Source organism: Homo sapiens, chromosome 2, assembly GCF_000001405.40.
Source record: "Homo sapiens chromosome 2, GRCh38.p14 Primary Assembly".
Lineage (NCBI taxonomy): Eukaryota > Metazoa > Chordata > Mammalia > Primates > Hominidae > Homo > Homo sapiens.
Window position 1 is genome coordinate 100,879,006 of NC_000002.12, and position 23,302 is coordinate 100,902,307.

Genomic DNA, 23,302 nt, shown 5'->3' on the forward strand with positions numbered 1-23,302 from the left:
CTACTTGGTAGGCTGAGGCAGGAGAATCACTTGAACCTGGGAGGTTGCAGTGAGCGGAGATCGCACCACTGTGTTCCAGCCTGGGCGACAGAGCGAGACTCTGTCTCAAAAAAAAAGAAAAAAAAAAAAAGCCTTCTAAATATTTTCATGAAGGTGCAATAGATCTCCAGGGCACATGTTGCTAAACATGAATCATTTGCTTCATTGATAATTATATTTTAAGATAAATGTTATTGTATTTAGGGTTTACAACGTATTACGGGATATGTATAGACAGGAAACGGGTTACTATAGTGAAGCAAGTTAACATATCCATCATGTTACAGTTACTTTTTTGTGTGACAAGAGGAGCTAAAAATATACTTATTTAACAACAGTTCCTAATGCACTACAATGTTATTAACTACAATCCTCATGTTACTCTAGCCTTGCTGACCCCCCCTCACCTGCTACTTTGTATCCTTTGAACTCTACTTCCTCCTTTTCTCTCTCCCTTCCTTCCATCCGTCCCAAACCCCTGGTAACCACTATTTTCTTCTCTTATCTCTGTTTTTTTAATTCCGCATGTAAGTGAGATCATGCAGTATTTTTCTTTCTGTGTCTGACTTACTTTGCTTAGCATAATGTCCTCCAGGCCCGACCATGTTGTGGGAAATGGCAGGACCTCCTGATTCCCTTTTTAGAGACAGTGCTCACTGTGGCCAGGCCTTTCTTAATATCGTGCTTCACACTGGATATGGTGCTGTGTTCTTTGCAAAAGGATTTCACTTTTTTAGGTTAAAAAACAACCATCAACAAGGGACAAGATGTGTCCTAGCAGCCACTCAAGGAGAGAGGCTCCGAATCAGTGGTCAGGAGAGTCAGCTCTGGGGTTGGCCACTGGTGGCCTGCACGGCTGAGGGCTGGTCCCTCCACACAGGGACACCGGGCCCACTTCTGAAAACCACATTTCAGGGTGTCTTTGACAGTCAAGAAGTGGGGAGCAACTGAAGATATTTGGCCTGAAATGGGGGACCTCTGGGGGGGACAAGATCACTCTGCTCCAATATCTGAAGGCCAACTGCATCCCTCGGATGGCTTTAATTTAAAAGAATTCTTTTGAAATAGAAAATAACAAGTGTTGGTGAGCATATGGAGAGATTGGAACACTCATACATGGCTGGTAGGAATGTAAACTGGTGCAGCCGCTGTGGAAAACAGTTTGGTGGCTCCTCAAACCGTTAAAACATAGAATTACCATATGACCCAGCAGTTCCACTCCTTGGTCTATACCCAAGAGAAATGAAAACATATGTCCCTGCAGAAACTTATGTTAACTTATGAACAATGTTCACAGCAGCGTTATTCATAATAGCCAAAATATGGAAGCGACCCAAGCACCCATCAGTGGATGAATGAAGAAAATGTGGTACCATATGTATATATATAGGAATATTATTCAGTCTTAAAGAGGAAGCAAATTCTGAAATATGCCCGAATGTGGAGGGACCTCGAAAGCATTATGCTAAATGAAAGACGCCATGGCAAAAGGTTGTATAGTCCCTCTCTGTGAATATCCAGAAAAAGAAAATCCCTTGAGACAGGGAATTGGGGGAGGTGGGAGTGAGAGCATAGCTCAGTGGGTACAGGCTGTTTCTCTGAGGAAATAAGAAGGTTTTGAATCCAGAGAAAGGTGGTAGTTGCACAACATTATGAATGCAGTGAACACCACTGAATTGTACATTTTTAAATGGTTAATTCTATGTTATGTGAATTTTACCTCAATTTAAACAATAATCTGAGGGCTGTCATTCTGTGTGACCCCTGGACATATGGCAAGAGGAAATGAGTAGAAGCTCCAGGAGCACAGCAGGGAGGAGGGAGAGCAGTATTTTTGCTCAGCAGGAAAAACTGACTCATAAATACAACTAGTAGGAAATTGAAGAGGCCGCCCAAGAAAGCAGCAAGTGCAGGGGACTGTAGAGTGCCTGTCGGGTGCTGCACTCAACCCCGAGAGCAGCAGTTCTCACCCCGAGGACACGTGGGATTCACTTGGTGGCACAAGAAAGCCACACTTGGGCCCCACCCCAGGGATGCTGACGCTGTTGGCCTAAGGTGTGGACTGGGCATCCGGACAAAGGCCCCTGGTGTCTTAGCTTTAGGTGGAAACAGATGACCTTTTGTGTCCCTCCCATCCTACCTCGGCCCCAACAGGGATTTCTGTTTTAATGACTGTGGTGCCTGCGAGCCTAGGATCATCACTGTTCAGTGTGAGTGGTGTACCCACAGCATCCGCCTCACCTGGAAGCTGGCTGGGAATGCAGCGTCTCCCCTCCCCACCCCCGCCCAGTCAGAATCCATACTTTAGCAAGATCCCAGGGGACCTGTGTGCCCATCTGAGTTTCAGAAGTGCTGCTGGGCCGGGGCATGGGGGCTCACCCCTGTGCTCCCAGCACTTTGGGAGGCCAAGGCAGGCAGATCACTTGAGGCCAGGAGTTTGAGACCAGGCTGGCCAACGTGGCGAAACCCCATCTCTAGTAAAAATACAAAAATTAGTCAGGCGTGGTGGCAGGTGCCTGTAATCCCAGCTACTCGGAAGGCTGAGGCAGGAGAATCACTTGAACCCAGGAGGCGGAGGTTGCGGTGAGCTGAGATCACAGCACTGCACTCCAGCCTGGGCCACAGAGTGAGACTTCATCTCAAAAAAAAAAAAAGTGCTGCTGTCGATCTTTATTTACAAGACACTTCGAGGTGCTTTTCCTCATTTTATCTTCTGAACAATCGCTGGTTTGTTCAGCTGTTTGACAGGGGAGGAAGTCCAGGCGCAGAGGGCTTCACTCACTCCACATGCCACGGACAGTGCTGGTCTCCCACGTGCCCCATTCAGGGCCTTCTCCCCCAGGTCCAGGGCCTGCTTCAGCTCTCTGTGACACCCACCACCTCCCTCATGTGCTCGCAGTGCCCTGCCCGGAGCCCAGGCTGGGTAATTATTGGGTATGCTGAAACTGCTGGGGCTGGGGAGACCCCGTGCCTCAGCTTGGAGCCTGATGCCATGGGAATCCTCAATGCATGGCTCAGCTTGTCATTAGCTTTTCCCTTTCTTTTTTCATTCTTTGTTTTGAAATAATTATAGATTCAAAGGAAGTCACCAAGAGGTTCAAGTTCAGTGTACCCACCACCTGGTTTCCCCCAGTGGCAACATCTTAACGTCACTATAGCACAATATCACCCCCAGGAAGGCGGCACTGCCACAGGGGCCTGTAGAATTGTGTCATTTGCCACATTTGTGGATTTGCGTAACCACCACCCATTTCTTTCCTTGACTTAAAACAAAAAAACAAACAGCCGGGCGCAGTGGCTCATGCCTGTAATCCCAGCACTTTGGGAGGCCAAGGTGGGCGGATCACAAGGTCAGGAGTTCGAGACCATCCTGGCTAACACAGTGAAACCCCATCTCTACTAAAAATACAAAAAAAATTAGCCGGGCGTAGGTGGTGCATGCCTGTAGTCCCAGCTACTCGGGAGGCTGAGGCAGGAGAATGGCGTAAAACCCGGGAGGCGGAGGTTGCAGTGAGCCGAGATCGCACCACTGCGCTCCAGCCTGGGAGACAGAGCGAGACTCCGTCTCAAAACAAACAAACAAACAAAAAACGATGGGGTCCCCGAAAACACACTTTATAAAGACTGATTTCCTGCTGGCAGGAGAGAGAGCTGCTGTACATCACAAAGCAAGGCGGCCCACTAGAGTGGTATGGTCAGCGACCTCTGCCTTGCCTGGGTGAAGTGTCTCTCTCTCTGTCTCTGTCTCTCTCTCACACGCACACATGCACGCACACACATGCCATGCACTTTCTCTGTGGAAGACTTCAAAGTGTTTGGTGGCTGTTCTGAGACCTGTTCCTCCTCGGCTGGGCTAGGGGAGGGGCCCACTCCTTTTACCTGTGTTTCTTTTTAGAGGAGAAACTGACACAAAGTCAGATAGTCTTGGGGATGGAAGTTGCTCTCATCTGTAAGAAAAGGAAACTGACCTAACCAGCAGGTAATCACTTGAAATCACTTGTGTCCCGTGCTGGAAACAGCTCCACAGCAGTGTCTATGATGGATTGGAACCTACACAGCTAGAGGAAGAATTTGCATCCAGAAACCACAGGAGCAGATGACCCACAAGTGTAGCTATTTTACTTCTTTCATGTTAAATTCCAAATAAAAGGATGATTATCTTTGAACTGACCCCAGTCCAAAGTACAAATGCCTGGCTGAGATCCACCAAGGCCAGATGTTGTCATCAGTGACTGGGTTTATGCCAGGCTATCGGTGAACTGGGTCAGAGATGGTGCAGGCAAGGTTGCTGGGTCAGGGCAGGTTCACAGCCCAGTCATTCCTAACCAAGAACATCAGCACCTGACTGGAGGGTGGGAATGAGGTTCCTGACCTGCTGACTCATTTGCAGAGTGGTGTGTCAGAGCCACACACGGTAGCAGCATAAACCTGAACTTCAGGTAACCACACGCCATGGGATGCTGCAGATTTATGTGCCCACTGCTTGCAGCTGAGAGGACCAGCATGAATGGCTCTAATTTGTCACCATGGCACAGTCACAGATGGAGAATGCTCTGTCATAACCAGCGCTCCCAGTCTCCATAGGTTCTTAGCACCCTTCCCCATCCATGTTTACCTGTACAGCCACCTGTGCAGGTCATTCTTGCCCAGAATAGTACATGAGCTAAACAGCCATCTTCAGGTGGTTATAAAACCTCATATTTATATGAGGTTTCATAGTTTACAAAAGTTACTTCTTATTCCACCTAATGAAGAAACCACAGTCCAGAAAAGTTTGGTGCCTCCCCCGAGGCCACCTACCTGGTCAGTGATGGATCAGCACCACAGTTCCCATCTTCTCATTACACCTCCCTACTGGTTAGGCCCCAGCCCACACAGAGAAGTGTTTCTGTTTCACCCCTGGAGAGGGCCCTGAAGCATCTTGTGAGTTTGTGGAAAGAGAAGAGGAGCAGCTCTTGCTTCCGTGGGGAGCACAGCCAGACTCCTGTCTTCATGTCCTGTCCCTTAAATGCCCTCCAAAACCGGGGGCAGGTGCTCGAGAGAACTTGACCCTGATTCCGGATTATGGGGTTTTCTAAACTCAGTACTGTGGCTGAGATCTGTGGGGCATTTTGCAAGCTGCTTGCTTTTGTGTGAAACCCCTATATTTGTCAGTATTTTAAGTTTCTGTGAGGCTGTTCTTGAATTCAGTTCCTTTCTCTTTGCCTAAATGCAAGCCACACCCTCATCTCCTCCCGTTGACCATATAAGAGGTCTCAAGGGCACTGAGGAACTTAGCAGAAAGCAAACAGTACCTTCAGAAGATTAAAAAAAAATTATTGCATTTGTTTTTCTACAACCAAGATAAGAGACAGTAGATAAAGGAATGTGTATGTCTTGTACAGCTCACTAGCCCCACCATCTCTGATACGGACCAGTTCTTCCTGCCCCTTGAATAAGTATCCCTTGTCTTATCATAGTTTACATCCTGCTGTGATGCCATGTGACATACATGCTCTCGCACACACATTATTAAGACTTCACTCCTTGTGATCAAGGCTGAGAAAGATTGTGGTGGTGTTATTGTTAATATAAGATTTATGACCTCAAAATGTTTGCAAGCTTGGGGTCAGAGATGGAGCATTCCTCAGAGGGAGTCAGCCTGGGGTCCTTCTTACATAGACATGAACATAGTTTCTCCAGAGCAAGGCAGAATACACAGTTTAAACCATGGGAAGGAGGAAAGACTCAAAGGAGTGATTTAGTAAGAGTATAGGTAAAGAAGGGAGAAAATATTAGTATTTCTAGGAGAGTTAGAAGGACTTAGTACTTCTGCCGTTTTGTTTTAAAATATATTTTTTTAATATATAAAGAGACATCTTGGCTCTCCCTAACGAAAATGGCCTAAGATCCTTTATATATATATATAATTTTTTTTTTTTTGAGACGGAGTCTCACTCTTTCACCCAGGCTAGAGCGCAGTGGCACAGTCTTGGCTCACTGCAAGCTTCACCTTCTGGGTTCACGCCATTCTCCTGCCTCAGCCTCCCGCGTAGCTGGGACTACAGGTGCCCACCAGCACGCCCAGCTAATTTTTTTTGTATTTTTAGTAGAGATGGGGTTTCACCCTGTTAGCCAGGATGGTCTCTGTCTCCTGACCTCATGATCCGCCTGCCTCGGCCTCCCAAAGTGCTGGGATTACAGGCGTGAGCCACCGCGCCCAGCCGATCCTTTGTATTCTTAATGAAAGAGGGAATGAATTGCAATGAATATGTACTGCTTCTCCAGAAAACAGAAAAATTTTTAATGTTTTTATTTAAACCAGACATATACTTTTTTATTTATTTCCTTGTTGGTTTCTTTTTCTTCCAAATAGGTTGCAAAAATGAAATTTCTGTTTAAATTTATAACATGCAAGAGTATATGTGTATGTGGCCTTGGAATGATTATTTAGTTTTGTTCCAAAGATCTGATAGTTTTTAAATGAACTCTATAATTTAGGGTACTCTGGGAATTGAAAACTTCGTGCTTTATTTAGGTAAAGATATCCTGAATTGCTTACTTAAGTAAGTCAAGTAAATGGAACGTTCTTTGTGATAATGCTGTTGCATTATAAGAAATGCTTTGAATCATAGGTAGGACTAATGTATAGCCTATTTATTTATTTATGAGATGGAGTCTTGCTCTGTCACCCAGACTGGCATGCAATGGTGTGATCTTAGCTCACTGCAACCTCCCCCAGCCAGGTTCAAGTGATTCTTCTGCCTCAGCCTCCTGAGTAGCTGGGATTACAGGCACCTGGCTAATTTTTCTATTTTTAGTAGAGACAGCCTAGCCATGTTGGCCAGGCTGGCCTCAAACTCCCGACCTCAGGTGATCTGCCTGCCTCAGCCTCCCAAAGTACTGGGATTACAGGCATGAGCCACCGAACCCGGCTAGCCAATTTATTTTAACAGCATTTCACTTTCAATTTTGTTAAATTTGGCTAGACATGTAAAATCATTTATTTAAAATTTAAAAATCCAAACTTCTCCCTATTTTGTCCAGAATTTCAAAATTGCAGTGAGTTGTGGTCGCCTGGAAACCAGGTGTATGATACTTTGTTAAGCACACTAATTGGCAGCTTGGAGTTTTGCATTGCAGAAGGCTCGTTAGTGAGGGTGGGTGGGAATCCACACTCCTCCAATTAGTGGGCCCCCAAGCCACTCGCACATTTAAAGTATGATTCACTTTACCCAAGTTTGTTTGTCTTCAGCTCTTCAGGAAAACACTGTTACACAAGCCAAGGTCTCCTATCCAGCAACCTTTTGGATCCCGAGGTCTGCACATAAAAGGACTTGCTCTGCAGGCTCCCTGGTAGCTGGTGAATATCTTGGGAATTTAAATATGAAGATAGTTGATGTCCATAGCTAGGATCTGTTATTTAAATGTAGAAGCATTTAAATATGCCTTTGGAGTTGTTTTTTTGCATTGTGATAGTAGCCACCACCTGAGCTAACAATTCATTGAGTTTTATGCTGTCCCACATTCTAGCTGCTTTAAGGGATTGTGTTCTCAGGTCTCACAGATGGCCTGTGAAGGGGAGAAACTGAGGCAGAGAGGGTTAGGAACTTGCCTAAGCTAGTTAAGCAACAGTCACGATTAGAAGCCAGGATCTTTCAGGACTGTTCCCACGTTATGCGAGAGTCCTTGCCTCTCTTCATAAATGGTAGATTTCCCATCTCCTTTAATATCCTCTAGATGAATTCATGAACAAAGGCCAAGGGACAGGAGAAAGAGAGAAAGGAGGAAGAAATGATGTCAGCTCTTTCCTTCAGTTCTTAAAAATGCCAAAGACAAAACTTTCAGACAAGGTCGTTTCCTGGAAGAGGTGGGGTAAACATTCCCAGAGTCATGAGTTTTTAGATTTGAATGTTTCTAAAATGTTGATTGACAGAACCTTCTAATACATTTGTTATAAACGTGACATAAAGGGGAAAAATGTCCAGCATTTTGAGGAAGAAAGGGCTCTAAATATACATAACTGCATTTGAACAGATTCCTTTGCTTCCTCGTTGGCCTGGGCTGCAAGGCCACTGTCCTCTTATGAGCCCTAGGAAGCAGGACTGGCCTCCTGAGGACCCCAGCATTAGCCTCCAGGTTTGTGCTGGGCCCTCCTGAGACAACCCCAATCCAGACACTAGCTCCTATAAGTAGAGCACCTGAGACTCAGGGGAATTCCCTCAAAGCGTTCCAGCTTCTGAGCCAGAGAGGCCAGAAGTGGAAGCCTTTCTGTCGGACAGCTACAGCCCAGACTGGATGCAGGAACAGCAGGAACAGAGCAGTGGCCTCCTCCGTGGCATGGGGCCTTGTGCCCACCAATCCTGGCACCACTGAACCACTGACTCAAGTCCGTCCTCAGCTCCAGTGAGCCTCTTGTTATTGCCAGTGGCTGACGGAGAGGTGAGGGGAGAGGACGTCATGCAGGCGAGCTGGGAGGTAGCACCACGGTTTCTCAGCAGTGTTCGTGCAAATTATCACTATAATGCACCCGTGCAGGCCCAGCAGCCTGTGCAAGTATCACAGCACCATACAGACATGAATTCATGTGTCTTTAATAACAGGGAAATGGCAATGTGTCAATTTACACAGTTGTTTTTCTGCAGTTTTTTCTTTTTCTTTTTTTTTTTTTGAGCCATCTTCCCAAGTGTTCTCTGGGTTTTCCTCTTACCCGGGTCCCCTGTCTGCCATCCACAGGCTGGCATGAGCCACCCAGGCTGGGTCTGGGATCAGCCGAGGGCCTGGGCTGGTGCCGGCACCGCCCCTCTCCGCGAACGGGCCCTGCATTCGCATCATTAGTTCATCACCATGGAAGAACTGGGCTGTCAAGCTGACCTACTTTTCTTGTTTGCCCACAGCAGGCTAAGCCTGTTTAGCCTCATCCAGAGGGGCTGGGCAGAGCAAGTTGCTTTCCGAGTCATACAGATGGCAGTCTTCTGAGTGAGTGTGGTTGAATCTGTTTGCCCTTTTTGCCCTTAGTCTGCAGAGTTAGGGCCCAGCACCCAGGATGGCTTGAGTCCAGGTCCAAGCACAGGGGCATCCTGCAACCCATATTCAGCCTCTCCCGAAGAGATCCTGCATTAGGATGAATTATTGCGGGAACCAATGCCAGGCTTCTTTCCAAACTTTAAACACAGATTCCTAAATGGAAGCTCTTCATATTCTATACTAAGCCCTAAGAACATCAGCCACTTGCAGAGATGCCAGGAGGGTGGGACCCATGCCTGTGCTTGAGGGGTTTACCATCCAGTGGGGGAGGGTTGTGAACAGCTAAAGCCAAGGAGAAGCAGAAACAGAAGAGGATAGGGATGAGCCGTGGGGGCGGAGGAAGATGCGCTAGTAGGGTAGAAAGTGTTGGAGAGGGGGACAATGTGATGAGGATGGGGCTAAAGTCACAGACTGGCAGCTTGTCATCTGAGGGTTTGAATGCTACGATATGGAACCATGTGAAGTGCTAGTAGATGTACATGTTATCCCCCCACCCCATAGTTACTACCTTTATTCTTTGCTGAAATATTGCTATATTGCTGCCTGTGAACATAGGATAGTATCTGTTAGAGTTGTTCAGGGGAAAATAGTTAAGATCAGACCCAGACTGTCATGATTAAATAAGCTAATGTACAAGAAAACCACTAGCCAGAGCTTCATGTGTAGTTTATCTCTCAAGCTCATGGATTTTGTGTGTAGCAACATGCCTTGGGTCCTGGGCCTGTGCCTTCTAATTCTGATGCCATGACTTCTGACTCAGGCGGACATGTCTTGGACTCTCCTTGACACCCCGAAGCCACCACCCAGAGCTTTGGAGGAGGAATCGGGCCAGTGGGTGAATTATGCCTTAACTGGGGCCACTTCTTTAGACATTTGCAGAAGGAGGAACTCAGTCTCTTTTTAAAAAGAAAAATATGTACTTCTCTTTTCTCTTGCAGTTTCCCCAGCATTATTCAGAGGCAGAGTGACAGATGTAAGGAGAGGGATCTAAAACATCTTTAATATACAACATGAATATCTGAATGGACATTGAGAAACTGGAGATTTCTAGTCCTGCTGAGGCAAAACCCAGATGACCTAGAGATGACATAAAAGTCAGTCATTTCTACCTGTCCCATTACCGGTGATGGTAATGTTTGTCACTCAATTAAGGCAGTAGCTCTTCTTTAGACATTCAGCAAACATTTGTTGAATACCTGCATGGGACTCTGAGTCTTGGTGTTCGAAGAGGGAAAATGGAAATACTCGGCCCTACATTGCCTAAGCCCCTCACTAGGGAGAGCTGTAAGCTCTTGGGAAGGGCTTGCCACGGGGCTTTCTGTTTGTTGAGGTTCACCCTGTATCCAGTGGCTCTTCTAGCACAGGCAGAGACATGCCCTTTGCCGTGTGACATTCGAGGAGACGACCAGTTTTTTTCCCTACTGACCTATGATCCCCACATCCCAGCTTCTCTGCCTACTGGTTGGTCTTCCTGACATTAGTTTTGTTCTTGTGTATTTGATCCATGCACACATTTTTACCACACCGGATATCCTGAAGTTGGGCTGGTTGGGGTTTTGGGAGAGGCATGTCTAGGGTTGGTTCACTCTGTGGATTAGGATCTAGTTTTATCAAGGTGGTGGGAGAAAGGCCTCACCAGGCAGCAATCACCAATGGATCCCAAATTCCCAGCTGGGCCTGCATCCAACACAACCAACCAGGGTTTTCAGACAACTCAGATTTTAAAAAGAAAAGCAGCAACCTGTCAGTTTGGTGACCTAGCAGATACATCTCAATGCTTTTTACTTTTTAATTGACTTTTTAAAAATGGTGAATTAATGCCATTTTCCGTATGAATGCATCATTGTGTAGATTTGTGTAGATGCCTTGGAGACGTCCCCTGAGATTGAGAGCGTGGGGTGGGCATGTTCGGGGGCGGGGAGGGATATGTAGAGCAACTAGAAGGATTGAGGTTTTCCTTGCGTGCACACCCTCCTCCTGGCAGCGTGCAGTGGTGAGTTCCTGGTTCATTGGGAGTGAAATGGGCACCCTCCTGCTTCTGTGTGCATACTGTATGAGGTATGTAGCTTTGCCAGATCTTAGTGTGACACACCAGGATGACAGCTAGCAAGGTCACGTCTCTGAGGGTTGTTAGGCCCCAGCCCTGGTATAATGCCTCTGCAAGGCATGTTGGTCCCCTACAGTGGGCCGGCTGTGTCCAGGGAGCAGGCTGGGCTCAGAGGTAGTGCGAGCTCTCAGCTGGCCTCAGGGCCCAGCCAAGGCCCCTCATCATCTCTGACTATAGGGACAGGTGGGTGCAGGGAAGGGGTGGCAAACTTAGTAACGTTGATCTCCTTGATAGTTTCTACCCCTGAATGCACCTCCACACAAAATTGTGCAGGCCTTCCCAGGGACCCTAGCCTACGGGGAATCTCGGGGCAAGGAGAGGTGCAGGTGCTCTGGGCAGTACCACAGGTGTCCCTGTACCCTCAGGTCATCAGGCCCAAATACAGTGAGGAGCCAGCCACTCAGAGCCACTTGAGGGGCTCCAAATGCCCCATTTTCTCATGCCCCAGGGCCTTTGAACAAACCATTCCTTCTGCTTGCATGCCTCTTCCAGGCTCAGCTGAATTGCATGATACAGTGACAGTGGAAGGAGTGGAGGAGGATCCAACATCACAGATACTTTAACAGTGAATATGTTAAATCTAATACATCATAAGAGAGTCCCGGGTGTGAAGGAAGAGTGCTCCTTGCTGCTGGTGCTGTCCCATCTGCTCCCTGCGGGGCCCCTTGCAGCCCGTGAGCTTGACTTGGCCTTGGCTGAGTCAGCAGGGGTGGTGGGCAGGAGACCCCTGGCTGCACAGGGAGGGCCAGCAGTGTGCTGTCTGCTTAAACTGTAAGTAAAAGAAGTGAGGATGGTCCAGGCGCAGTGGCTCACGCCTGTAATCCCAGCACTTTGGGAGGCCAAGGCGGGTGGATCATGAGGTCAGGAGATCGAGACCATCCTGGCTAACACGGTGAAACCCCGTCTCTACTAAAAATACAAAAAATTAGCCGGGCGTGGTGGCAGGTGCCTGTAGTCCCAGCTACTCGGGAGGCTGAGGCAGGAGAATGGCGTGAACCCGGGGGGTGGAGCTTGCAGTGAGCCAAGATTGCGCCACTGCACTCCAGCCTGGGCGACAGAATGAGACTCCATCTCAAAAAAAAAAAAAAAGAAGTGAGGATGACAGGAGAAGGTAGATGGTGCAACATGAGGGTGCTTTCTACCAACAAGGTGTGCAGCATTGGACACGCATGACCACGTGACCTGCAGCTCTGATGGTGCAACATGAGGGTATGTCCTACCAACAAGGTGTGCAGCATTGGACATACTTGACCACGTGACCTGCGGCTCTGAAGGTCCCACCTGTTCTCGTTCTAAAGTCACCATTTCTGACCGCTGTGCTGTGGAAGGGGAGGCAATTAACCAGATGAGGCGTCCCAACAGATTCTCCTATCGATTGTGAAAAGTGGGTCCACTTCAGCTTACAGATGAGGTCATCATGCCCAGGCTCCAAGGCCACCACACAAGTGAAGGCAAGAGCACTGAGGACATTTCAACCTAGATCTGGCTAGTTTCCAAACTAATTCTGCTGCCTCAATTAGCAATTCACATCAAACCTCCTACGTTTTGATTAAATGTTATTTGAAACTCTTGATATTAAACCCAAGATTCCACAGTCTAGGTGTCCAAAACTAATTTGACTTCCTGTTTCAAGGGCACCTACTTTTTCTCTCCTTGCAAACTTGAGCACAGTGAAGATGAGCATTTCTGGACCTGAAGGAGCATTTGGGGAACAGTTCCATGGAGGGAGATGCTTGCTGGAGCAGTATTTTGTGGATTCATTTCGGCTTGTCTGTGGCAGCCGAACAGCGGTTTCCAACAAAGGCTTTCACTGACTCAGCTCCAAGCATGACTCGTAAATCTCCTTTTCCCCTCTTGCTGATTTTTCTAGGCATCTATTGTCCACACCCTGACCACACACTGTCACCCATCAGAGTCCCCAGTTGACTCAGGTTTACACTGTGCCATCCGAACTCTTGATAGAGAGTCCCCCTAAAAGGAACCTGAGGTGATTGCAACATAAATGTCAAAGGTTGCAAGAATAATATGTTGTGTTAGGATGGCCCTTCCATCCAGATATCATGGCCGTTTCTATCTTGAGAATTATTTGCTGACCAAACGATGTTACGGTACATTTACTTAATAACAAATTTTTCAACTTTCTTCATCCATTCCTTCACTGCATATGTCACCCTCTCTCTGAATAATGAATCATCAGATTCTTGGAAAAAGGAAATCATGAAGGAGGAACCATGGTTGTAACAGGCAGATAAAGCTTCAGCTTGGTTTTTTAGACACTCATGGTAGCGTTTGCGTATGGTCACGACGCTCATGAGAGTCTTGTCTTGGTTTCTTCTAGCCATCTGGCTCTATGAGGCTCCAGCAAGCACTGTGAGACCCGGCTCCTTGGGACAAGGCTGGAGAGGGCTAGTGTTAGGATTGGATCTGTCCGCCTTGCCGTTTCCAGGTCAGAGAATGTGCCAGAATGCGATGAGAACTCCCTAGTTGGAGGGGAATTGGGATTGCAGGAGCTGCCGGCTCTCAGGCTTTCACTGTCCATCTCCTTTAGAAATTTATTTTTTATTTTATTTATTTATTTTTGAGACAGAGTCTCGCTCTGTCGCCCAGGCTGGAATGCAGTGGCGTGATCTCAGCTCGTTGCGGCCTTTGGCTCAGGTTCGAGTAATTCTCCTGCCTCAGCCTCTTGAGTAGCTGGGATTACAGGCGTGCACCAACACACCCGGCTAATTTTTTGTATTTTCAGTAGAGACAGGGTTTCACCATGTTGGCCAGCTGGTCTAGAACTCCTGACCTCAAGTGATCCTCCCACCTCAGCCTCCCAAAGTGCTGGGATTACAGGCATGAGCCACTGTGCTTGGCCTTAGAAATTTATCTTTTCTCACTGAATGAATCATTGCAACACCAAAAGCCATTCCCTGGAGAGGAAGAATCACAATATGGAAGTTATTTCCTAGCTTCCCCAAATGACAAAGGAAGATAAGTGAGCGTCGCAGTTCATCAGCAACTGTTGCTCAAAGGCTTTTTATTCCTTAACATAATGAGGAAAAATCATTACCAAGCTCCCATGTGTGAGATACAGACGTTAATCCAAAACGACATGAGGTCCCCTCACCAGGGACTGGCTGGGAGGACAGAAGGTACACACTCTGTCAGCAATAAATAAACCCCCATCAATTGGGGAGATGTGTGTGCTCGGTTTTGCCTTTTATGATTCCAACTTGTTCTTGTTTTCTGTATTTTTTTCTTTTGATTAAATTCTACCAGGCTTGGTTGGTATGGTGGGGAAGAGTGTTAGGATTTTCCAGCTAACTTGGGACCTGTAATTCAAACCAGTTCTCAGCCAATTTCAATACATCATGATTTTATGTTTGTGAAAACATAGGCCTTGCAACACAACAGGCTTGGGGTAGTCATTTCAGGGAAAATTCATGATGATACAAAGTGACCCACTGGGCCTATAAAGACTTTACAAAAAATTCTAAATTAAAAGACACTGAAGAGGAAAGTTTAGTCATGATTCCAGTGATTCTTTAACATGGTTTGGCAAACTGCTGTCTGGGGACCAAATCTGGCCCACAACCTGTTTTCGTAAATAAAGTTTTATTGAAACACAGCCATGCCCACTCATTTACATGTTGTCTATGGCTGCATTGCACTATAATGGCAGAGTTGAGTGGTTGCAACAAAGACTGGATGCTCTGCACCTAAAATAGTTACCAGGTGGCCCTTTGGAGAAAAGGGTTGCTACCTCCTGCATGAGTGGAGTAACATGCCTTTCCGTGCGTGCTGCATGAGGCCCTCTCTGGAGACCTGGGTGAGCTGCTAGTCCCTGGGGGAGACTGTCACTTGTATGACTCATTAGTCTTCTGTCTCACTGCTGACGCACTTGGGACCCAGGGCGGATATGCCGTGACAAAATAATCCTGCTGCCATTTCCAGGTCCCCATTTGCCAGGGGCCAGAATTCTAATCAGTTGTGTAGTAGGTGGCTGTGAGAAAGAATGTTCTAAAGCCTTTGGGGCAGAAATTTCACCTGGGTGTGTGAATGTCATTTGCAGGCTTCACTTTTGTCCTTTGCTTCAGTTAGAGTCAACAGATTTTTTGAGGGTCTGCTGTGTGAAGGAAAACCCCAGTCATTTCACCTGATAGTCATTCCATTCCCTTCTCTCCTTCCTCACAACCTCACAATGGCCGGTTGCTTTCCTGTTTAGTTATGAGCGGCTCAGGGTCAGTGATAACCAGGTCCATGCATGTTTGTGTCTCTCCACAAGGTCAGACTTTTATTGACGTGATTTCAATCACAAAAGCTGGAAGCTCCATTGAGTTCCCAAGGAGGAACTTCCCCTTACTACTTCCCATTCACTTAGGAGTCAGAGCCGCGGGCACACAGGCTCAAGCCACTCCACAGGTCAGTCAGTGTTGCAAACCATGCATAATAGTACACTTATCAATAAATAAATGATTAAACATTTCACAATAAATGAAGTAACATTTAACATCAAAAGAAAAGGGTTAATGGACCAGTCCAGGGAGAGCAACATGAAAAAAAAAAGAATGTCCTGGCCTGGTCTGGGCAGTCCATTGGTCTCACAAGGAAGAGTCTTTGATGTGGGCAGAGCATTGGGCAGTGGATGCTGGGTGCTGATCACAAGCGACAGCAAGATGGAGTCTGTGGGGACAGCCATTTCTAGCTGGTGAAGTACTGCTCTTATGGCCGCAGAGTCCTCTGGTGAGGACTGAGTGGAGGAATGTACTTGGTTATGTCCTTGTTGGAAGCAGTCTTCATTGATTAGGCAAAACATCCAGTCTTGTTGGCAAGGTGCCTTTTAAAATGTAAGATGGAGTCTTTCTCTAAGATGGAGTTTACTGTGTCAAGGGTACTGTATACAGTTATCACTAGCTAGTCCAGTATTCTAGACAGCGTATGTGTGTCTGTCTGTCCATCATGCGTACACACACACACATACACATTTTCAACACTGGTAGAAGGGAATGATTATCCTGTTTCTCCCAAAGACACTTGTTGGGCTTAAGTACCAGTTTCTACTGTGAGCCCTTTAATTCATGATCATTAGTGATAGTGTGATTAAAATTCTGCAGCTACAATTTTGTGATGACTTATTTGTGCCGGGGACTGTGCTGGGGGCTTCCCTTGGACTCTCTTATGCTGTCTCACAGCCAAACAGTGAGAAAAGCTCTTCTGTTCTCTCACTTTGCAGTTGGGGAGCTAGGGCTGGGAGCATCACACTTGTCCAAGGTTATACAGAGATACTGAAGGGCAAAGCCTGGGTCGGTCTCAGTTTGGGTCGCCTGACCCCAGGCCACCACTGCCTTTCTCCCTTTCACAGATGTGGATGCTGGACCCAGGAACTCTGACACCCAGTGTGCCCCAGTAGCTCTGCCTGCCAGCAGCAGGGGTGGCTGTCTGCCAATTCCCTTAGGAGTTCCAGCCCTCCTCCCCGCCCCTCCACACTCAGTGCTCCACTGGCCTTGCTTGATTAGATTCCCCAGCTGGTCTGTTTACTGGGCCTGGCAGAGCTCCTTACCCCCATGCCCCCACTCAGTGGTCCTCACAGTCCTGTTTGCAGCAGCCACAGGTAGTCCCTAGGGGTGGGGCAGACTCAGGCTTCAGCTGGAGCCCCTGCCTGCGGGTGCCTCTTGGCTGTAAGGCACTCTTCCTACCAATATGGCCTTTTCTGTCTCTGTTTAGGAGCCCCTCTCTGAAACCTTAGGTCTGTGTGACCCCAGAGTCCATTTCTGTTTCACCCCTGGTGACCTCCTTACTGTGCAGAGAATGTGTTCGTTGAAATTCAAAGTAGATAAGAAAGGCTGAAGCTCAGTGTCACCTCCCTTAGCAGGGGCTCAGTGGCCACAGTGTGAACAGAAGGGGTAGGACAGTTAGGTGGGGCAGGTGTGCAATGAATGGAACTCACCTAGAGCTTTCTGTGCCCCAGGCATCATGCTGGGTCCTTTATTGCACACATACCTGTGACCTGCTTCCTGTTTGCACCTTGCACAATTGCTGCCTGGTGGGTGTTAGCTGCATTGTGTTAGGAATGAGGGGAACGGGCTCATGAGGTTTAAGGGGCCTACTCAAGATCATAGAGCAAGTAGGTTGGAATGGAGATTTAAATCAGACTGACTCTGAAGTCGGAAACCCCCTATTCTGAGCAGCAGTGGCTGGAGAAAGGCCTCCTGAGTCAGTGCCAGGAGGCAGAGCCCAGGGTCTGCTCTGTCCCCAAGCCTGTGTCTGTGGGCAGGCCACTTAGCCTTGCTGGGGGGTGGTGCTGCCTGATTTATGAGTGGAGGATAACTATAGCCAGCCCATTCCACCCACAGAACTGATGGAGACAAAATGAGATTATGTTTTTTCAGAACTTGGCAGCTGCCAGGGGTTGGTGAGGGACCCATTGGGCCTTCCTGAAGAGCCCTGGCTGCCAGTGCTGTCTGAGTGGATTTTCCCTCTAGTCAGTAGCTCCTGCACATGCAGAAGTTTTTGTTTTAATTTTAGTCACCAGGATATAACTGTCCCTTCAAATGTACTTTGTAAGCACTATTACCTTGGAGCCACCACGATCATGGGGAGGTTTGTGGGAGTGAATGTCAGGTAGTGGCACAGGAATTCAGATGGGGGTTTGGCCCTGGCTTTGTCCTTCCTTTCCTCCCTCCCTCCCTTCCTCCCTTCCTTTTCTTCTTCATTCCTCATGCATTTATTGAGCACCTAATATGGGTAAGGAGCTTGTATTAGTCCATTCTCATGCTGCTATAAAGGACTGCCTGAGACTGGGTACTTTATAAAGAAAAGAGGTTTAATTGATCCACAGTTCACATGGCTGAGGAGGCCGCAGGAAACTTACAATCATGGCGGAAGGGGAAGCAAACACGTCCTTCTTCACATGATGGCAGGAAGGAGAATTGCTGAGCAAAATGGGGAAAAGCCCCTTATAAAACCATCAGATCTCATGAGCACCCACTCCTATCATGAGAATAGCATGAGGGTAACTGCCCCCATGATTCAATTACCTCCCACCTGGTCCCTCCCAGGACACATGGGGATTATGGGAACTAAATTCAAGATGAGATTTCAGTGGGGACACAGCCAAACCATATCATAGCTGGGCGAGCCATCGTGAAATGGGTGAAGATGCAATTTGCCTAATCCTTGCCATCAAAGTAGAGAACCTGTTTTTGAGTGTCTGCTGCAGGCCAGACTTTGCAAACTTAAGTTCATTTAAGTTTCACCGCTGTCCTCTGAGATAGGTGTCTGTCACTCATGTTCAAAACCTCCAGTGCCTTCCCGTCTCACATAAAGCAAAAGCCACAATGCCCCTCTGCCCCTGGCTCCACCTCCCCCTCACCAAAGCAATCACCGGGCTGGCCTCTGGGCTGTTCCTCGCTTTCCTTGCTGTCTGGGGGAGGCACCCTCACTGCTCACTCCCACACTCCCTTCAGGTCACAGCTCACATAGCATCTCATCAAGGAGGTCTTCCAAGACTCCCTAAAACATCAGAACAAGACTCCCCGAACCCCGTCCCACCCAGGATTCACCTTTTCCTGCACTGCAGTGATAACCAAAGAACAGGCTCTGTGTTTACTTATTTGCTTGCCTGCAGTTTTCCCCAACTCCCCTGACACATGCATCCCCCGCCTCATGTAAGCACCATGAGAGTAGCGGCTTTGCTCACAGTGGGTTCCCCCTTGCCCAGGCACTCAGGGAGTATCTGTTGAATCACTGTATATCACATGCAGTTGGCACATTTGTGCTTTGGCATATACATTCTCCTGCCTCATCACAGAGCCCAAGAGGAGAGGCAAATAGAAGGAGATAGTACACACGGTGCATGGATCAGAGACCTGCACATTGTTAGTTTTCCTAAAATTGATCCCCAAATTCAATTCATTCTCAATCAAAATCGCATCAAGCTATCACTTTTTTTTTTTGAGGCACAGGGTTTCACTCTGTTGTTTAGGCTGGTGCTCACTGTAACCTTGAACTCCGGGCTCAAGCAGTGTTCTTGCCTCATCCTCCCAAGTAGCTAGGACCACAGGTATGCACCACCATGACAAGCTAATTTTTACTTTTTTGTAGAGACGGAATCTTGCTGTGTTGCCCAGACGACTCGTGGCCTCAGGCAATCCTCATGCCCCAACCTCCCAAAGCAATGATATTATGGGCATGAGCCACTGCACCCAGCTGCATCAGGCATTTCTATAGAAATTGACAAGCTAATTCTAAAATTTATGTGGCTGTGCAACGACTTAGAATGGCCAAGGTAAACTTGAATAAGAACAACGTTGGAAGGCCCACCCTACATTTATGTCAGTAATTACTGCACAACTTTAGGAGTTAAGATAGTGTGGTACCGGCATAACAATAGACAAAGGGTGTGGTGGAATTGGGAAACATGGAGTTAGTTTGTTTAAACAACAGAGGAGTTATATTTTCAAGTGAAATGCTCAATATATTTCCAGATGAAGGGCCTCTAAATGTAAAGCAATGGCTCCAATTGTTAATCTGATACAGGTTCACTCATTATATATCTAAGTCCAAAAGTACAGGCAAAAATCATATAATTTTTTTCAGCGTAATAATTGGATCTACCACTTTAAATTTAGATGTCTTTCACCTAAAAAAAAAAAAAAACAAACCTGAAAGTTGAAGGAAAACACATTGTGCATATTACATGTAAATGTAACTAACATACCTCTTATGAGTGAGTTTATCGCCACTTCAGTCGGGTGGCCAAGGCTGGCATCCACAGTGACAAGCCATGTTGACAGCATGATGTGATAAGAAGGACACTTTATTTCCTGGGTCTTCCTCTCAAAAACCCGTATTCTGAGCCTGACTTTGAGAAAAACATCAGACAAACCCGAACTGAAGAACATTCTACAGATACTCCTCAAAATTGTCAAGGCCTGAGAAACTCGCAGAGCCAAGGGGTGTCTAAGGAGATGTGCTGACAAAGCGTGCTGGGGTGTCCTGGATAGAGTGCTAGAGTGGAAAACGGACGTTACGTAAAAACTGAGGAAGTCTGAGCAAGTTTGTCTGAAAATTATGGACTTCTTTTTTTTTTTTTTTTTTGAGACAGAGTCTGGCTCTGTCGCCCAAGCTGGAGTGCAGTGGCGTGATCACGGTGCACTGCAACCTCTGCCTCTCAGGCTCAAGCGATTCTCCTGCCTCACCCTCCCAAGTAGCTGGGATTACAGGTGTGTACCATCACATGGGCTAATTTTTGTATTTTTAGTAGAGATGGGGTTTCACCGTGTTTCCCAGGCTGGTCTCGAACTCCTGACCTCAGCTGATCCACCTACCTTGGCTTCCCAAAGTGCTGGGATTACAGGTGTGAGCCACTGGCACCTGGCCTGGACTTTTCTTAATAAGAAGGTATCAGTGTTGCGACAAATGCACCATACTAATGTAAAATGTTAATAACAGGAAACTGGGTGTGGGGATAAGGGAACTTTCTCTACTCTCTTTGCATTTTCTGTAAATCTAAAGTTGTTCTTAAAAATGCGGTTTATTTTTTAATAAGTTTATCTTATGTGTCTTTCACCCCACAGACATCCTGATTCTGTCCTGCAGAATTGAGACACATAGGATAAATGAAGCTAAATATAGTCCATAAATAATGCATATAAGATCACACACTATTTGATGAAAGTGCTAATGCAATTCAACAGGGAAATAAATGCCTTTTAAACAAACTATTCTGGAGGGATGTCCATATTGGGGGCGTGGTGGGGGTGGTGGTGAATAATGTCCGAGCCCTATCCAACACTACACATAAAATTTAAGTTGCAATGGACTGTGGATCAAAATGTGAAAGCTAAGTGATGAAGCTTCTAGAGGAAAACATAGGATAATTCTTCACGACATTGAGGTGGCAAATATATTTTAGAATACAAAAATCGCTAACCATAAAATAAAAGGTTGATAAATTAGACTTTATCAAAATTTAAAACTGCTCATCAGAAGACACCATCCAAAAAGCACCAAGGCCACCCACAGACTGGGAGAAAATGTTCACCATTCATATTTTCTGACAAAGTACTTGTACCTGGTAGAGATAAACTTCTATGATCAGTATGATGAAGACTAACAGTCCAATTTTTTTAAGCAGGCAAAAGAATTAGACATCTTACAAAAGAAGATATCTAAATAGCCAGTGAAAAGTGCTCTGCATCATTAGTCATCAGGGAAATGCAAATCCCAATGAGATATCATAACACACCCACGTAAATTACTAAAATTAAGAAATATTACATGTTAGAATGGAGCCACTGGAACTCCTTGTACACTACTGGTGCAAATATGAAATTGTACGTTCACTTTGGAAAACAGCCTGGCAGTTTTTAATAAAGTAAGCATACAGCTACCCCGTGTTCCAAGAATGACACTCCTAGATATATACACCCAAGAGGAACGAGTGCTTATTTCCACAGAGACTTCTATATGACTCAACACTGGTGATGTTAATGTTGACCAGTAGGTGAAAGTGGTGTCTGCCAACCTTCTTCCCTGTAAAATGTTTTTCTTTTGTAATTAATAAATACCTTGAGAGAGATACTTTGAAACTCTGCAAATATCCTGTTTCTCCCCAAGCTTTTTCACATTAATTTTAGCATCCATCGGTGGATCTTGCCTGCAACAATGATTACTATGGTATGCCGATGGTGATTTTCTTTTCTTTTCTTTTCCCCTCCCCTCCCCTCCCTTCTCCTCTTCTCTTCTCTTCTTTTTCCTTTTTGTGGAGAACAGTGCCTCACTATATTCCCCAGGCAGGTCTCAAACTCCTGGGTTCAAGCTATCCTTCCCACTCTCCCACCCTAAGGGCTGGGATTACAGGCATGAAGCATGAAGCATGATGGTGATTTTCTATTGCCATTGTTCCTTCTACATTTATTAATTGGAATCTTCTGTAAGAGGAAGCTGTCTCCCTCCCTCCTTCTACCTCCCCATTTGTTTATTTATCTGGGGGCTCTTTGTAAAGGTGTGGGTGGAGAGTAGGGAACCAAGAGGGACAGTGTGGTTACCTGAGGTGGGGAACGATAAAACAAATAAATAAGACTCATGAGTATTTAGTTTGTGGCACAGGCTATAATCAATACGGTTGTCACTCATTTTGTTGCTCAGGTTGTTCTGGGAACCCCTCTCAGCCTCTCCTTTCATCAGGCTCCCATAATTATTGTTACTGTTGATCATGATTTCTTGTGTGGTCAGTTGCTAGGTGCAGATGCCTGGATTTCAAACTGGGGGGGATGTTACAAAGCTTAAAAAGACTCCGGAGAGTTTGTGTTCTAGGAAAACCCAAGAAACCCAGAACTGGAAGAGCCCCAGAGAGATGAATGTTACCGGGCGTGTTCCCTTCTCTCTTCCCTGACGCTCCCCTGTGCAGAGGATCCTGCAGACATGGCTAAAGGAGATGCAGCAGGAGATCAGAGGGTGGGTGGAGAATGAGAGTGTTTATTCCCTTGGCTCCCTTCTTGTCCCTTCACTGAAGGCCGCCTCCTATGGGACACACTCCTTCCAGGTTTGGGAAGTAATTTCCCTCTTGTCCCTTCCCCTTACAGGTGTTCACAGCTCTGCCGTTCCCCACCTCAGGTAACCACACTGTCCCTCTTGGTTCCCTACTCCCCACCCACACCTTTACAAAGAGCCCCCCTGTAAGTCAGCACTCCTCAGAGGATCCCACCCGCCTTCTGCTTTCCTGTTGGGACCCTGATTCACACACCTCGTGACTGTCTACGCCACGTAGGACACATGGTTATCTGGGGTAAAGGCTGTACGGCATCCCTCCATTGTTCACTCTGGGGGTTCATCACCTCAACCATTATGTCTCAGCTCCAAACAAAATCTCCTCTGCTTTCATTTAAGCTCCTTTTCTGTTTTCTGGCACTCTGTGATCAAAATAAAAAAAAAAGTAGATGCTCAAAATCCTTCTCACTGAAAACTTTATACGGTTGAGAAGAGTCATTGTCACCCCCTAAACTTCTCTGTGATTCCTTTAACCTGACCTCAGAGGACTGCTTTTCTTCCCTTCCATCCTGTTCCTTGTTTGCCTTCAAGCTGGTTCCAGATCCTATTATTAAGTAAAAGGGTGACTCTAAAACGCAAGGGGGGATGGACACCCACACTCAACAGCAGCCG

At 46.7% G+C, this 23,302-nt stretch overlaps 1 protein-coding gene across 20 annotated transcripts in view, besides 1 other annotated feature; it reads left to right on the top strand.

Moving 5' to 3' along the window:
• The window catches only part of NPAS2 (neuronal PAS domain protein 2), a 178,107-nt gene that overhangs the window by 60,283 nt on the left and 94,522 nt on the right, over window positions 1-23,302 (top strand). Inside the window, exon 1 of one of the 20 annotated variants that reach the window (XM_047444504.1) lies at window positions 128-22,597. The exons of 17 other annotated variants lie outside the window; for them this stretch is intronic. In XM_047444504.1, the coding sequence (XP_047300460.1) occupies window positions 22,578-22,597 (20 nt within the window). In that variant the 5' untranslated portion in view covers window positions 128-22,577. Of the gene's footprint in view, window positions 1-127; window positions 22,598-23,302 lie in introns of those variants that run through there. 2 more of the 20 variants (XM_047444512.1, XM_047444505.1) reach the window with 2 other exon arrangements.
• Window positions 8,673-9,442: an enhancer, noted in NCBI's record as "H3K4me1 hESC enhancer chr2:101504140-101504909 (GRCh37/hg19 assembly coordinates)". NCBI's record gives its function as "activates a minimal SCP1, AML or CMV promoter by ChIP-STARR-seq in naive H9 embryonic stem cells {active_cell/tissue: H9 hESC(naive)}" and the evidence as "EXISTENCE:reporter gene assay evidence [ECO:0000049][PMID:30033119]".